General features: G+C 59.1%; 2 protein-coding genes across 15 annotated transcripts in view, besides 9 other annotated features; one reads left to right on the plus strand and one right to left on the minus strand.

Moving 5' to 3' along the window:
* TP53I13 (tumor protein p53 inducible protein 13) overlaps positions 1-3,063 on the plus strand; it is a 16,041-nt gene extending 12,978 nt beyond the window's left edge. For all 10 annotated transcript variants that reach the window (XM_047437003.1, XM_047437000.1, XM_047437001.1 and 7 more), the window contains one exon: positions 514-3,063. In XM_047437003.1, coding sequence (XP_047292959.1) covers positions 514-827 — 314 coding nt within the window. In that variant the 3' untranslated portion in view covers positions 828-3,063. The remainder of the gene's footprint in view (positions 1-513) is intronic.
* The window catches only part of GIT1 (GIT ArfGAP 1), a 16,174-nt gene extending 5,803 nt beyond the window's left edge, over positions 1-10,371 (minus strand). For 4 of the 5 annotated variants that reach the window (NM_014030.4, XM_011524685.3, NM_001085454.2 and 1 more), the window contains exons 1-7: positions 10,050-10,371; positions 4,206-4,339; positions 3,648-3,760; positions 3,421-3,526; positions 2,650-2,867; positions 2,465-2,559; positions 2,061-2,103 (exon numbers count right to left, since the gene is read on the minus strand). In NM_014030.4, coding sequence (NP_054749.2) covers positions 2,061-2,103; positions 2,465-2,559; positions 2,650-2,867; positions 3,421-3,526; positions 3,648-3,760; positions 4,206-4,339; positions 10,050-10,101 — 761 coding nt within the window. In that variant the 5' untranslated portion in view covers positions 10,102-10,371. The remainder of the gene's footprint in view (positions 1-2,060; positions 2,104-2,464; positions 2,560-2,649; positions 2,868-3,420; positions 3,527-3,647; positions 3,761-4,205; positions 4,340-10,049) is intronic. The other variant, XM_047435858.1, reaches the window with a different exon arrangement.
* Positions 4,843-5,657: an enhancer, noted in NCBI's record as "H3K4me1 hESC enhancer chr17:27911138-27911952 (GRCh37/hg19 assembly coordinates)". NCBI's record gives its function as "activates a minimal SCP1, AML or CMV promoter by ChIP-STARR-seq in naive and primed H9 embryonic stem cells {active_cell/tissue: H9 hESC(naive and primed)}" and the evidence as "EXISTENCE:reporter gene assay evidence [ECO:0000049][PMID:30033119]".
* Positions 5,658-6,470: an enhancer, noted in NCBI's record as "H3K4me1 hESC enhancer chr17:27911953-27912765 (GRCh37/hg19 assembly coordinates)". NCBI's record gives its function as "activates a minimal SCP1, AML or CMV promoter by ChIP-STARR-seq in naive H9 embryonic stem cells {active_cell/tissue: H9 hESC(naive)}" and the evidence as "EXISTENCE:reporter gene assay evidence [ECO:0000049][PMID:30033119]".
* Positions 5,900-5,989: an enhancer, noted in NCBI's record as "active region_11981". NCBI's record gives its function as "activates an Ori minimal core promoter by ATAC-STARR-seq in GM12878 lymphoblastoid cells {active_cell/tissue: GM12878}" and the evidence as "EXISTENCE:reporter gene assay evidence [ECO:0000049][PMID:35858748]".
* Positions 8,653-9,552: an enhancer, noted in NCBI's record as "H3K4me1 hESC enhancer chr17:27914948-27915847 (GRCh37/hg19 assembly coordinates)". NCBI's record gives its function as "activates a minimal SCP1, AML or CMV promoter by ChIP-STARR-seq in primed H9 embryonic stem cells {active_cell/tissue: H9 hESC(primed)}" and the evidence as "EXISTENCE:reporter gene assay evidence [ECO:0000049][PMID:30033119]".
* Positions 9,770-9,959: a silencer, noted in NCBI's record as "silent region_8377". NCBI's record gives its function as "represses an Ori minimal core promoter by ATAC-STARR-seq in GM12878 lymphoblastoid cells {active_cell/tissue: GM12878}" and the evidence as "EXISTENCE:reporter gene assay evidence [ECO:0000049][PMID:35858748]".
* Positions 10,220-10,699: a silencer, noted in NCBI's record as "silent region_8378". NCBI's record gives its function as "represses an Ori minimal core promoter by ATAC-STARR-seq in GM12878 lymphoblastoid cells {active_cell/tissue: GM12878}" and the evidence as "EXISTENCE:reporter gene assay evidence [ECO:0000049][PMID:35858748]".
* Positions 10,220-11,351: a biological region, named in NCBI's record as "H3K27ac-H3K4me1 hESC enhancer GRCh37_chr17:27916747-27917646".
* Positions 10,452-11,351: an enhancer, noted in NCBI's record as "H3K27ac-H3K4me1 hESC enhancer chr17:27916747-27917646 (GRCh37/hg19 assembly coordinates)". NCBI's record gives its function as "activates a minimal SCP1, AML or CMV promoter by ChIP-STARR-seq in naive H9 embryonic stem cells {active_cell/tissue: H9 hESC(naive)}" and the evidence as "EXISTENCE:reporter gene assay evidence [ECO:0000049][PMID:30033119]".
* Positions 12,460-12,649: a silencer, noted in NCBI's record as "silent region_8379". NCBI's record gives its function as "represses an Ori minimal core promoter by ATAC-STARR-seq in GM12878 lymphoblastoid cells {active_cell/tissue: GM12878}" and the evidence as "EXISTENCE:reporter gene assay evidence [ECO:0000049][PMID:35858748]".

A 13,854-nucleotide genomic window follows, 5' to 3' on the forward strand; every position in this document is an offset into this window, starting at 1 on the left:
TGTTGCCTGGGCTTTGTAAGTTTCTTAATCTCCCTCCTTCTAGTTTTGTCCCTACAATCCTGTTCCACCCAGCAGCCAGGGTGATTTTTTGGATACACCTGGCTGCACTACCCCTTGCCTTAAGGCACTGCAGTGATAACAGGTGCATATGGCACACTCCAAACATACTTCATCAGAATACCCTAGGGACGGGCACAGTGGCTCACACCTGTAATCCTAGCACTTTGGGAGGCCAAGGTGGGAGGTTCGCTTGAGGCCAGGAGGTGGAGACCAGCCTGGGCAACACAGAGATACAAAAGCAATTTAAAAATTAGCTGAGCACGGTGGCATGTGCCTGTAGTCCCAGCTACTCAAGAGGCTATGGTAGGAGGATCGTTTGAGGCTGTGGTAAGCTATGATCAAGCCACCGCACTCCAGCCTGGGCAACAGAGCGAGACCCCAACTCTTAAAAAAAAAAAAAGGCTAAACATTTTGCATACATTCTTATCTAATCCTCTCCTCCCTGAAAAATAGATGCTGTCATCTCCATTTCCAGGAGAGATAACCAAGGCTCAGAGAGGTCAAGCAGCCTGCAAGTCACACAGCCAGTAAGCAGCAGAGATGACTTCACACTTCTGTGCCTGGAACTCTCCGCTCTCGGGATGGTCACTGCTCCTGCTGATGCTCTCGGGGCTGCTCATTCTCCAGCTCGTCTCTATCCCAGTCTTGCTTGTAGGGTTCCCTGCCTCCCATGCTGTGCTCCAGCCCGGGGGCTGCCTCCATTCCCATGCAGCATTTCTACCCTCCATGCCTCTGCCTCTCTTGCTGCACTCCCCCATGAGGACTAGAATCACCTGGCTAGGCTGCCTCCCCAGCTAGATTGTGAGCTCCTTAAGGGCAGGGATTGTGTCTCAGCTGCCTCTGTGCTCCCAGTGCCAAGAGCAGTAGCTGGCTCCGGGAAGGTGCTCAGTTAATGTGCTGTTGAATGGAGCCCATATTTGGGTGTATTTACCATACACATGCACGCATGCACACACAACCCAGGTAGAATCAGACCATAGAAGTAGGAGCCTTGGGGTCTGGAAGAGGTCTGGGTTTAGGATCTGAGTCGCCCAGGCCTGGTTATGCCCATCTGCCCACACAGGCCCTTGGGGAGGAGAGCACCTCCTCTCTCCAGATCCAGGCCAGCAGGCACAGCCTGGCATGAGGACATGGCCATCAGAGGTGGCCACCAGGTGGCACCAGCATCCATCTTATGTGCTGGGTGAGTGGCAGGGGGTGTCCCACACTGCCTCTCAGACGGAAGCAGAAACACCTCATTCAACCAGCCTCAGCGCACGTGCCTAATTCTGAGCACGCTAGAGGCCTAGCCAGCAGTCACAAAGTTAGTCACATCCCTGAAGCCCACCCATCTTTTCAGCGAAGAGCAGAGGCTTCTCTAAAGACAGTGGGGTCGGTGCCACTGGGACAGAACCCAGTGGCCCACCCTCCCAGCCGGAGGTAGCTTCTGTTTCTTTTTCTTTTTTTTTTTTTTGAGACGGAGTTTGGAGTTTTGCTCTTGTTGCTCAGGCTGGAGTGCAATGGCGTGCTCTCGGCTCACCGCAACCTCTACCTCCTGTGTTCAAGCGATTCTCCTGTCTCAGCCTCCCGAGTAGCTGAGATACAGGCATGCGCCACCACGCCTGGCTAATTTTGTATTTTTGGTAGAGACGGGGTTTCTCCATGTTGGCCAGGCTAGTCTTGAACTCCCGACCTCAGGTGATCCGCCCGCCTCGGCCTCCCAAAGTGCTGGGATTACAGGCGTGAGCCACCGCGCCCGGCCCACAGGTAGCTTCTCACACCCAAGCCCTCCATGTACTTGACAGTCACGGGGCTCAGGCTATGCGGGCCACATATGGAGCTGACATTTTTTACCTGCCTTGGGGCCCAGCATTAGGGACTGAGGACTAAGCTGTGCCTCTAGTCTCTGGGGGGAGGGAGCAGGGTCCTAGGCCTCTGAAACCTGGGCTGGGAGCTCTGGGGGTCAGCCACCCACATGGCATCCAACAGCCTCTGGAAAGGGGCATCAGGTGGGCACTCACCTGTCAGCCATCTGTGGGATGATGTAATGCCCATTCTTGTGATCTGAACAAAAATAAAAATGCCAAGTCACTCACTAGTGCTGGGTGGCCTCAGCAGCTGGGAGCCCACCTCACTGCCATGAGCAGGGCTGGCACCCAGAAGTGTCAGGGGAAAGTGGGGAGGGCAGGCCACCCCCAAGAATGCTGGGAGCTCGTGGGAGGATGCAGGATGCCCACCCCCACTCCCTAGCCCCAGCGATGCTATGGCCCAGAGCCTGCAGTAATTTCACAGGAGCCAGTTGCCTAGCAACATTGCTCCCCAGCCGCTCTGTCACCATGGCACCTGCTGCCGGGTGCGTCCAGGTCCCACCTGCCCAGCCCCAGCCAGGCCTGTCACAGCCAGGCGCCCCCCAAGCTCTGCTCACCCGGCTTGCGTCCACAGAGGTAGAAGGCCAGCCGGTCAGTGAGCTCATATTGGCACTCAACCAGCCTTTCCGCCAGCTCATGGTGCCCCGCCTGCCTGTGAGGAGGGGGTATGGCTCAGACCTGCAGCAGCAGCCCTCACCCACACCCCCACCCACCCACACTGCACCCTTCAGCCGACCCTCACCTGGCATAGTCAATGGGTGTGCGGCCATTAACATCAGGGGAGCCAGGGTCAGCCCCATACACTACAAGCAGCTCGGCCTGCAGTGTCTGTCCTGCCTTGGCAGCCACGTGCAGAGGTGTGGTGCCCTTCTCTGGGTGGAAGAAGTTGGCCTGGGCACCCAGGGAGAGCAGGCGCAGACATGTCTCCAGGTTGCCTGTCCGCACGCTCGAGTGTAGTTGCTAAGAGGAGCAGAGTGTGCAGTGAATACGCATGTGCGTGAGGCGCACCTCCCCACCCACAAGCTGCACCCTGGCTGCCCCTGGGACACCTAGCAGCTCCAAGGAGGCCTGCCCAAACCAGACTATGTCGGGAGGACAGAGGCTTCCCGCTAGGGGTTAATGCCAATTAATAAACGCTGCCGTCAGTCACCATCTACCACGTGTGCTGTGTGCCCTGCTTAGATACTATTTATGAAGTAGATGCTGTTATTTCTTTCCCATTTTACAGATGAGTAAACTGAGGCTATGAGTGGCTAAGCAACTACCCCCAGGTTTTCCCAGCTTCTGAGTGGCAGCTGTGGGCTTCTAGCCTTGTGTGTCTACTTGGTTGCTGGGGAGCCTCAGCCACACACGGCCTGACCCAACAATCTGCTCTCTCCACCCTGTCTACTGTTACCCTGACCTGGCTGCCTTTGGGGCCCAGGGCTCAGTGGGGACAAAGGAGAGGCCTTCAGAGAGTCGTGGATGGGAAGAAGAGGAGGGGGCCACCCATCTGTTGTAGGGCCCCTCAAACCTTGCTGAGGTCTTTGGCGGTGACTCCATCATCGTCCCGGCAGGGAAGCTTGTGCACAAATGCCAGCATCTGGTACTTGGCCCTGATGAACTCTGACTTGATGGGGCTGCATGGGGCACACAGGAGGAATGGGGAGCATGGTGGGAGAGGGTGGTCACCTTGCCACCTCCCAGGGCCCTGTCCCGGACTGCGCAGTCTCTGCCCACCACCCCTCCAGCCCCACTCACTGGACTTTGTCTTGGGGGTTGGCTTTACGCCGGCCGCTCTGCACTTGTGCGGGGTCCAGCAGGGAGTGCTCCCAGATGGAGTTGGCCCCGTTGCTGGCAAGCGTGTGCACCATCTGCAGGGAAGAGATGCCAAGTGAGAGAGTGCCCACTGCGTGCTAAGCAATGGGGGAAACACTTCCTGAGCGCCTGCTGTGGCTGGCGTAGCTGGAAACGGTACCAAGGGGGCCTACTGTGTGCCCGCACCACCACACCTCCATCTAGTCCAGCTGCCCAAAGACACAGATCCCATGAGTGTGCCAAGGCTCAGAGAGGTGAAGCAACTTGCTCAATGCTACACGACCACGTTGATAAGTGGCAGAGCAGGGGTGTGAGCTACTCTTCTGCATGAAGTGAGTAGATGGGAGGAAAGGGTCAGGATTAGCCTCTGCCCTAGGGGGGTGCTGCCCCTTGGAAGCTGCAGATTCCAGATGGGGGTGTATGTGGGTGAGGGGGAAACGCCCTCATGCTCAGCACACTCTGCCTGAGGGGAAGGAAGAACCACCCGACTGAGCCCTGTACCTGCAGCAGCGTGGGAGGCCAGGCGCTGTGGCGAAGGTGCTTGACAATGGAGATGTGGCGTCCCAGGCTCCGGTGCACGCTGCAGCACTCGTCACACACCAGCACACCCCTGCTGATGGATGCCCAGCCAGGGTCTGCCAGGGTGAGGGCAAGGGTCAGCCGGAGCCAGATGATGGGCCAGACCTCCTGAGCACCTGCTCTGGCCCGTGCCAAGCCTAGTACTCTCCACACATTCACTCACTCAGTCTCCAACAGCCTAGGAGCTGGGACCATCACTACGGCCAGGTTACCAGTGAGGGATCTCCCCAAGAGCTCACAGCTGGGGGCTGACAGAGCCATGCCCTTTCCTACATCCTTACCCCTCTGGGATATGCAGTCCCCAGGGCCCATTCAGCAGGCACAGTTTCCTGCCCTGCAGCCACTGCTACCAGTCTCTCAGCCTTTTCCCAGGAAACGAGGTCTCTGCCCCAGCCCGTCCCGAAGGGAGGAAGGGATCCCCAAGGGGATGCAACCCAGATGCTGCTGCATGCCAGATGCTGTTGAAACATGCCTGACAGATCACACCCGTCCACAGGTCCTGCCTCTGGCCTCCTGCCAGCAGGTGAGGTCCTTTCATGCTGGAGCCTCCTGCCATCATCACTGAGGGTGTAAGCTGGAGCCCTCTTAAGGAAGATGGACAGAGCAAAGGAGCTGGGCTTGACTGGGCACCCACTAGGTACCAGCTGGGTACATTATGTGTGATGCTGCTTGCAACTGTCAGGCAAGGTAGGACATGCTACCTCTGTGATGAAGAAACAGTGGCTCAGAGAGGTTAAAGGGCTTATTCAAGGATGCGAGGCTAATGAGTAGAATTGCCAGGATGTGGCACTTTCATGCCTGAGACCATGCCATGTCCACACTTGCTGCTGTCCCTCTGCCTCTATAGCCTGCTCTCCACTCTTTTGGGAAAAGTGAACTTGGGAGAAGAAGCAGGGCCAGGACTGGGTGGGAGTTCCGGGGTTCTTCTCAAGGGTGGAGGAGATGCCACCCATCCTAGGCCCCTTGGGAGACAGCTGCATACGACTCAGGCTGCGGAAAGGTCACGGGGGAGAAAGCAGCCATTGTGTGCCGCCTGAGAGTGGGGGCAGGGCGCCTCTCTCCCAGGACACTTTGCTCTGCCCAGCGGCCCCCACCCTGTCTCAGGAAACCCTGTCCTGGGGTGGGGGTGGGGGACTGGCTCTCTGCCTTGCCCTGTAGCGCTCAGGGTGTTCAGAAGTATCCCCATCAGGGGAGGGACAGGCTTAGGGGGATAAGAATCTCTCCCAACTAGAAGGCAATTCTCAGGCCTTTCCCCTCTAAGGACTTCCACCAAAGTTCCCAGGAAAATTGAGGAGACTCTGAGTCAGGGGCCCAGCCTGAGCTCTGCCCACAGCAAGTGACCCCCACTGAGGCATGAAAACAGGAAGTAAAGGAGAGAGGCCTGTCTTTGGGTTTAGGCTTTTTTTTTTTTTTTTTTTTTGAGACGGAGTCCCGCTCTGTCGCCCAGGCTGGAGTGCAGCGGGTTTAGGCTTTTTAAGGGACCCCCTCCCAATCAGGGCAACAGAGGGATGCCCAAGGTGACCGCCAACACCTTCCTGGGGGGCTGACTCCAGGGCTCAGGAGGAAGGGACCAGCCTTCTTCGCCAAGAGGGGGAGCCCTAGCATGCACTTCTGGGCTGGCTTTACCCAAATAGTGAGGCACCCCAGGTGTGGAGACCTCCCTCTCCCCACTCCAAACACCACTGGGTCAGGGGGCTGCCAGCCAGCCACCTCCAGCAGCCCAGGCAGGAAGCCGGAAATGATGCAGCCCAAATTCCTCTTGGTGGGGTTTCCTGTAAGTGGGGAGCCGCCCAGGGCAGGATCATAAATGGGCTGATCTGAGGTCTGTGGTCCTACCGGAGAAGCCAGGCATGGAAGGCTGACTATATATCCACGGCCAATGGCTCCAGAGCCCTAAGCCATGGGCAGACCAGATGTGGTGAGTGACCCTGGCTATGGCAGTAACCAAGACCAGGATGCAGGAGTGTGGTCCAAGGGTTTGCCTGGCACTTTCCCCCAGCCTGGGGGAGGGGTTCTCCTTCTCCTCCAGGTGACCTGAGAAGAATGGTAGGCAAAGGACACTGTCCTGGTCTGGGCAGCCGCTATTGGTGTCAGCTCATTTCTGGATGACACAGATGGGACGCCCACCCTAACCATTCTGTCTCCTCCCTCTGTGCAAGTGCCCTTGGGACTACCCAGATTGTAGTTTAAGGTGAAGGGATCCTTGCGTCAAGAAGCTCCTTGGACCAAACCTGGGACGGAAAGGACAGGAACTGTAAGGGAACTCGTCAGCCCTCCCCCTGCGCTTCTGGCTCCACCGGCAGGGTATGGGTCTGTATGTGTGGAGAGGTAGCAGGCGTGATCCTGGGATCACGTTAACCAGTGCCAACCCCATGGAGGCCTCTACTACGGTGAATTCCTGCCACCACCTGAAGCCATCAGTGGCCTCCAGGGCCAGTAGGTTTGCACATACAGGCTAGCCTCAGGCCTCCCTCCCCTGAGCTAAGGGCCAGATCTCCACTAGACTAAGGGAAAAGCCCACATCATGAAGGCAGGCGAGAGTAGTCCTTGGGGTAGAGTCAGAATGGTGGTTACCTCTGGGGTGCACGGACTGGGAGGGGGTACTTGGAAGCCCCCTAAGGTGATGGAAATGTTCTATAACATGCTTGTCTAACCTGCAGTCCATATGCGGCCCAGGCAGCTTTGAATGTGGCCCAACACAAATTCATAAACTTTCTTAAAACATTATGAGACTTTTTTGTGACTTTATTTTTTATTTTTATTTTTGCTTGTTTTATTTAGCTCACCAGCTATCATTAGTGTTAGCGTATTTTAGGTGTGGCCCAAGAAAATTCTTCTTCCAATGTGGCCCAGGGAAGCAAAAAGATTGGATACCCTTATTCTATAACATGATCAGAGCAGTAGTTACATGGGTATACACACATGTAAAAGCCCATCAGGATGAACACTCAGGTGCAGGCATTGACACACACAAATTCTACCTCCATAAGGGAGGAAGAGGAGCCCAACATTTGTCCCACTCTGCAATCTACACTATGAAGAGACAAATCAGCCTGTAGCTTGTCCCGTAACATGTCCCCGGCCTTGCTCACCAGAGATACCTACAGGACAGGCATCTTGAGGCCTTCACTCTCACCCCCAGGGTTGCCAAAGTGGAAAAGGCTGAGATAGAAGCCCATGGGGTGAGGAGAGGCCCTTGACTGAGATCGTGTGGCGAGGTGGGCCAAGCCTAAGGAAAGGGGAAGATGCACATTCTCCAGGGCTCCCTGCCCCCTTCCTCTCTTGGACTCCCCAGGCAGGCAGGAACACATACGGTGCCTGACGAGGTGGCACAAGCTGCCAGAGCAGCCATGTCATGTCCAGCTGCCTAGCAACACACTCACACTTGTCCTGTGTGCCCATGCCCGGGAGCAGAGGGAGGATGGGGCTCTCTGGGGACAGGCTGCATCTCACCTCTGACCTCCATGACCCCCCAAATTAACCAAGCACAAAAAGTCCCTGGCCCCACTCCTGTGGTTAGGACTGCAGGGCTCCTATCATAATAAAAGAAGCCTGTGACCCTGGGGTGGAGCGATACACCATGGGGCTGGCACTGGATCTGGACTCCGGACTGCTGGGTACCCTCATGCCTCTCTGCCTGAGATGCCACAGGACCCAGACCAAACATGCCGCTGCATGCCAGGGCCAGCATCCTAGGGTCCAGGTGTGGGATAGTCCCAAGCAGCCAGCCAGGGTCCTAACAAGCAGCCAAACACTCAGGGAGTGCCTGCCATGTGCTGGACACCTCGCTGGGTGCTAGGTGGGCTGATGAGTAAGACTGTCCACATCCTCCCCACCCCACCATCCTCACCTTCTCACCACCTTCCTGACCTCTATTGTGAATCAGGGGAAAGGAGGCATCTGGGGCACAAATTCCTCTGACAGATGAGGACCTGGGAGGAGGAGCTGGGCAATCCAACACATCTGATGCCCACCATTCCTCCCTGAGCCCACTGGGCATCCAGAGGCTGTGGTCGGACATTCAACGCAACATACAAAGGACAACTGCCTTGCTGGTGCTGCCCTTCACCCCTCCACCCCAGAATCAGACCACAGATTCGGAGATGGCAGCCCCCCAAAAACCATTTCTACTCCAACTTCTTTGCCTCTGAATTGAGGAAGCTGAGGACCCCACAGTGAGGAAAGTCTTGTTGGGATTACAGAGTAAGCTGGGAACAAAGGCAACACTAAGCCCCAGACTCCCCCGATTGGGCGCCTGCTAAGACTCTCCTCCACATTCCATGCCATGCTTACCCCACGGAGTTGTGGAACAGTGGGGAGACATTTATAAGGCAAGGTGCATCCTCAGCCCTGCCATCCCCAGACCTGCCTGCAGCTCGGGGAACGGAGTCACAGTTTCTTAGGGGTATGGACCCTCAACCCCAGGGCCCTCTAAACCATGATAAGCCCCTAGGAGGCCTTGGTCATAACCACCTATGGAGTATTTTGTGCCCAAGCCCTGCTAAGTCATAGTTCCCAAATACTCTAGCTTGGCACCCCCAGAACCACCAGAGCATCTGTGAGGCTCAACCGGTGGGGTCCTGGGCCTGCTCAAGGGGTGGCTGAAAGTTATGGGCCCACAAACCAGCACCCCATACTCTCACTCTTAATCATGCCCACAGCCCCGCTAGAGTTCACGGACCTCCGCAGCCTGCCCAGGGGCCTACCAGGGAGATAGCTCCTTTGCTAAAGAAAGAATGGATGTGGGCTAGAGCTTCCTTCCCAGGCCAGCTGCAGAGCCCCGTCACTGGCTGTCCTCCCTCATCAGAAGGGAGCAGCCTCTTGGATCATTACCCCTGACTTCCTCAGCAGGCCTGGGGGGTTTCACTCCAGCCCAGTCCTAACTCTGTTAGGAAAAGGAAGGGAACCACCATGTAAATACAGCCAGGAGACAGGCCAGGAAGCCAGCAGGATACGGGGAATCTCGGCACGGCCTCCCACCCATTTCTGGCCAGACTGGGCTAGGGGACAGGGAGGGGCCCGCACCCAGGATAGCTTGATGCCAAGCTCACTTTCCCAAGCAGGCCTTACCGGTGAACAGGAACAGCAGGGTCCAGCCGAGCTGTTCCCAGTCACCACCAGCAGGCCTGGGGATGCCTCCCGAGAAGACACCCGGGTCTAGACTGGCCCTGAACGCCAGGCCCGGCAAGGAGCGCTAGCCTTAGGAACCCGAGGCAGGGAGTCCTGGGAGTAGCCACCGCTCATCTGCTCCTGAGGAGACGGTATTCAGGCCCCACTGGCGCATCTGCCCGGCCCTCTGCTCCTTGCCCTCCACCACCCCGGCAGGCGTACCGACCACGCGAGCAGCAGGTGCAAGACGCGGGGGTGGCACTGAGATGACATAAAACCACACTCGCCCCCACCTCCCAAGCCCTGACGGCCTCCGCCACGGCCCTCCTGCCACCCCAGGCTGGCGCTTCCGTCGGATACAGAGATGGAGGTGGAGGAGCAGCCAGCTGCCCGCCTCCCTCAGACCGAGGAGCGGGAGGCGGCGCCGGGAACGTCCTTCCTCGCTAGTCCACGGCCTCCAGGGAGCATGGGCACCCCAGGCCGGCCCTCCCGCCAAGGGCGCAGCTCCGCAGTGGCCGAGGCGGGGGCCCAGCCTGGAGGCCGCAGCCCCCCGCCCCGCCCAGCCCTCCGGCCCCGCACAGCGCTCTTGCCAGGCCCCGGCGCCCGCCCGGCGGCGGCCTGGCTGTGCGGTCCCGCCCCCGGCCCCGCCGCGCTTACCCGGGGCGCTGCAGTCCGCACACACCTCCGCTCGCGGCCCCTTTCGGGACATCCTCAGCGGCGACGCGGCCGCAGCCCTCTGGGCCAGCGTGGGGGGCGCGGGCGGCGGGCCCGGGCGGCGGCGGCGGCCCCTGCTGCCCGGCCCGGCTCCGGCGAGGCCCCGGCGAGGCTCCGCGCGCCCGGCCAACCGTCCGCCCCGGGGCTGGCCCGGAACCCGCCGTGCCCGCCTGCCCGCTCGCCCTCGGGCGCCCTCCGCCCCGCGCCGCCCCGCCGCCGCTCGCGGCTCCTCTCTCCGCCCCCTGCGCGGCTCCCGGCCGCTTCTGCAGGAAGCGGCGCAGGCCCTGCCCACAGGGGGAGGGGCCGCACCCCCGCCCCGCCGCGCGCTGCCGGCCGCGCCCCCTAGAGAAAGGAAGCCCGGGCGCGGGCAGGAGGGGGCGGGGGCGCTTAAAGGGGCCGCGGCAGATGCCCGGCCCCGGCGGGCAGCGTGGCCTGCGGCCCTGGCCTCCGCTGCAGCGCTCGCCTGGCCCGGAGGCAATGTGAGTCACCCTCACAGCCCCCTCCCCTTCACTTTCCGCGTGGGGTGGACCGGGGGACGCTGGGCCCACGGACGGCGAGGGTGGGGATTAGGGAAGAAGGACTTGGAGGCCCAAGTCCCGCTCCAGGTCAAAGGGGCTGTGCCTTGGGGTACCCGTCTATCTCTGGTTGGGGTGAGGTGTGCGTCCCTGTCCCGTAGGTGTCCACATCTGTGTGTCCAGGGGTGTGTGTGTATGTGTCACACTCTTGCTGAATACGCCCACTGCTAACAATATGGACGCCCAGGTGCCAGAAAGGTCAGGCAGTGTATTCCCCTGCCTCCGGACTAAAAATATATCTATCTCTCCATGCATCCTTCCATCCAGAGAGGAGAGAATCTGGGCGGTTTTTAAAGACCTCCCGAGGAGTGACCACTGTGCCTGTGTGCACTCACATCCACTTGTCATCCGCCTTACACACACCCACGGTGTTTCTGGGCCACCAGAGGTGTGTGTGTCCAGAAAGGGTGCATATAACATAGAGGGGCCGTTTCAGGTGACGGCCTTTCTTCCTGGACTTCACACGACGAGGCAGGCAAAGGCAAGGCAGGTGAGGGACGTGGGTGGGCTGGGGGGCAGGGAGCCTAGGTAGAGGCCGCACATGAGCGCAGCCCCCGCACTGAGCATGCGCCCCCATACGCGTGTGCCGCGCGTGTACCCAACCCCCAATCCCTGCAGCAGCAAAAGGCCCGGGCACTCTGCTTGTGGGGAGAGGGTAGAGGTCCCCAGGGCCAGACCTGGGGGCCAGGTCAGTGGTGACAATTGAGGAGGGGTTCTCCAAGAGTCAGAGACTCCTGCTTGTTAAGATGGGGGCAGTCCTTTGGCAGGGGTGCTCAAGTTGGTCGATTATCCCAACGGTGCCAGAGCGGCAGTGATTTGTGGGTGGGCAGGCTCCTTCCCTAGGGGAGACAAGTAATGCTCATGAGTCACACCACCCGAAATACATGCAAAGCTGCCTCCATCGCCTTTTGCTGCGGCCCAGATTGACAAGTTTGTTTGAAATCGCGATCCATGGGCTTTATTTATAATTGCACCTTAAAAAAATCTTGCAGGCCTCCCCTCCCTCGACAGCCAGCCGCTCAGCTGGTGGGGCTTTTGCAAGCAACGATACCTAGCTGGTGTGTAGGGGGGAGCACCACCTGCCGCCCCGAGCTGCTCTCTCACCAGAGTCCATGGGCTTGGTGGCCTCAGCGGGAAGGGGGTAAGGGGCGGGGGGAGTGAGACGGGAGGAGTGGCCAGGCAGCCCGTGCCAGGCGCTCAGTCCACGAGCGGTGGCCGCCCGTTCACCCCCGATCGACCCCCAGCTATGGAATTTCATTTATTAAATGTCGAGGAGGCTGCTGGCAGCCCTGCCGCTTGGCTGTCTTTGTTTCTCCGCTGTGTGGGCGCGTCTCGAGCACGTGGCAGCTGAGAGCGCGGGCCGAAGCGCAAGCGACCTGGGTTCAGTGTCTACCGCCGCCTGGCAAAAAAAGAACACGGCCGCCCAGGGGACAGTTCCCCACAATCGACAACTCCCCACAATCCATCCTGAACTCCCCCTGTCCTCGGACTCCTGGGCTTTGCTGGGGAAGAAGGATGATTCACTCTGCTTACCCCTCCACCCCACTCCCCATCTCCTGGTTGGCTCAGAGACTACCTGGGAGTGGCCCTGGCGCGGACACATCGTCCAAACTTTGTTTCCCCCAGCCCCGTCACAGCCAAACTTCTGGGCCTGGGACTGGAGATAAAAGGGTTTCTGGATTCCCCCGTGGAGATGTCACCACCCCAGGAAGCAGGACTGCTACAGTGGAATCACACACAAGGTTCGAAAAACAATTTAATAAGGAAATGCACAGGCATGCTCCCGGCCACTCCTAGATGCCCCTCAACCGCGCCAGCCCCCTCCCCTGCACTGGCTGCAGCCACGACACTCTGCTGACCCCTGGTGGTGCAGGCGGGCAGCGGTCCCGGGCCCCCGGAGACGCCAGCTGGCTCCTCCCAGGCGGGAGAAAGGGGCGAGGCAGCCCGCTCCTCCCTCATCTCTTCCCGCTGGGGCCTGGCACCACAGGGTGTGGAGGAGGAAGGAGGGAAGACCACACAAAGAAACCTGAGAGAGTTTGCAAGCTTTTGCTGGCACCTCCCACACAAACACTTCTTGGATTGTTGTTTTAAGTAGGGCCGGTGTGGAATCCCTTATTCCTGCCTTGTTCTGAGGTGGGCTCAAGAAGGCACCGTGCCTGGTCCCGCCACCTGTCTCGGCCCGCCTGGTTGGGGGAGGGAGGCGCTGTTTCCAGGGCAGTCATTATCCTTAGCTCACCCCAGGAGGTAGTATCTAGATTCTCATTTTGAAGGGGAGTGGACCGAGAAAGTCGGAAAAATTAAGCAGTTTGCTCTTTTAAGGTCAGGCAGTTGGAGCTATTCGAACTCTGGTCTCTCTGACATCACAGTCCCCTCCCTCCAGGGACTGGTCCAAGCCTCTTGGTCCTTCCAGGCCTTGCAATTGGCGCTTGAGAGGCCAATTCAACTTTTACCACACCCTCTGCAGGGACCATTCTGGAAGTACCTCTTCACCCTGGGGTCATTCAGGAAGGAGACAGTCTCTGGAATCAGTCACTTCCCTTCCTGAAGGGCCAGCTGGGTGGAGGAACGGAGCTGCCACCTGCTGCTTTTTCTGTCCAACCTCACTCTGGTTCTTGCTGGGGACAGTGTGCGGGGGGAAAGGGACCATCTTTCCCGCGTTACTGGACATTCTGTTTCCAATGACATGTGTGGAAGATGGAGTTTAATTTTCTAACAGGGCAGGGAAGACTCCTCAGAAATGTTCCAGGGGCCAGACCCCTGGCTGCTCCAATGACCCTTGGTACTGATGCCCCACACCTTTCTCAGGAGTTCCCAATCAGACGCTCTCTTCTGGGAATCCGGATCCTTCTTCATGGCCCCTGGGACCCAAGCTCAATTCTGAAGACCACACCTCCACCCCGTCTCCCAAACGCTCGACCTAGGCCCGTGCCCCCCCACTTCCCCAGCAAAAGGCAAAATGCCAGCGGGGGAGGTGCGTCCCAGCCCACCTGGCGTCAGGGCCCCGCCCGCGTCTGGGCCAGGCCTGACTCCCCGCCCACTCTCCCACGAGATCCGGGGACAGTGCAGACCCTCTTCGGCCACCTGCCACCCCCAGTTTCACGAGGCGGACTACAAACCCCATGATGCCGCGGGGCTGAGCTGACAAGCTCTACCCGGGGCGCCTGGTCCCCTTC

Source organism: Homo sapiens, chromosome 17 (genome assembly GCF_000001405.40).
Source record: "Homo sapiens chromosome 17, GRCh38.p14 Primary Assembly".
NCBI lineage: Eukaryota > Metazoa > Chordata > Mammalia > Primates > Hominidae > Homo > Homo sapiens.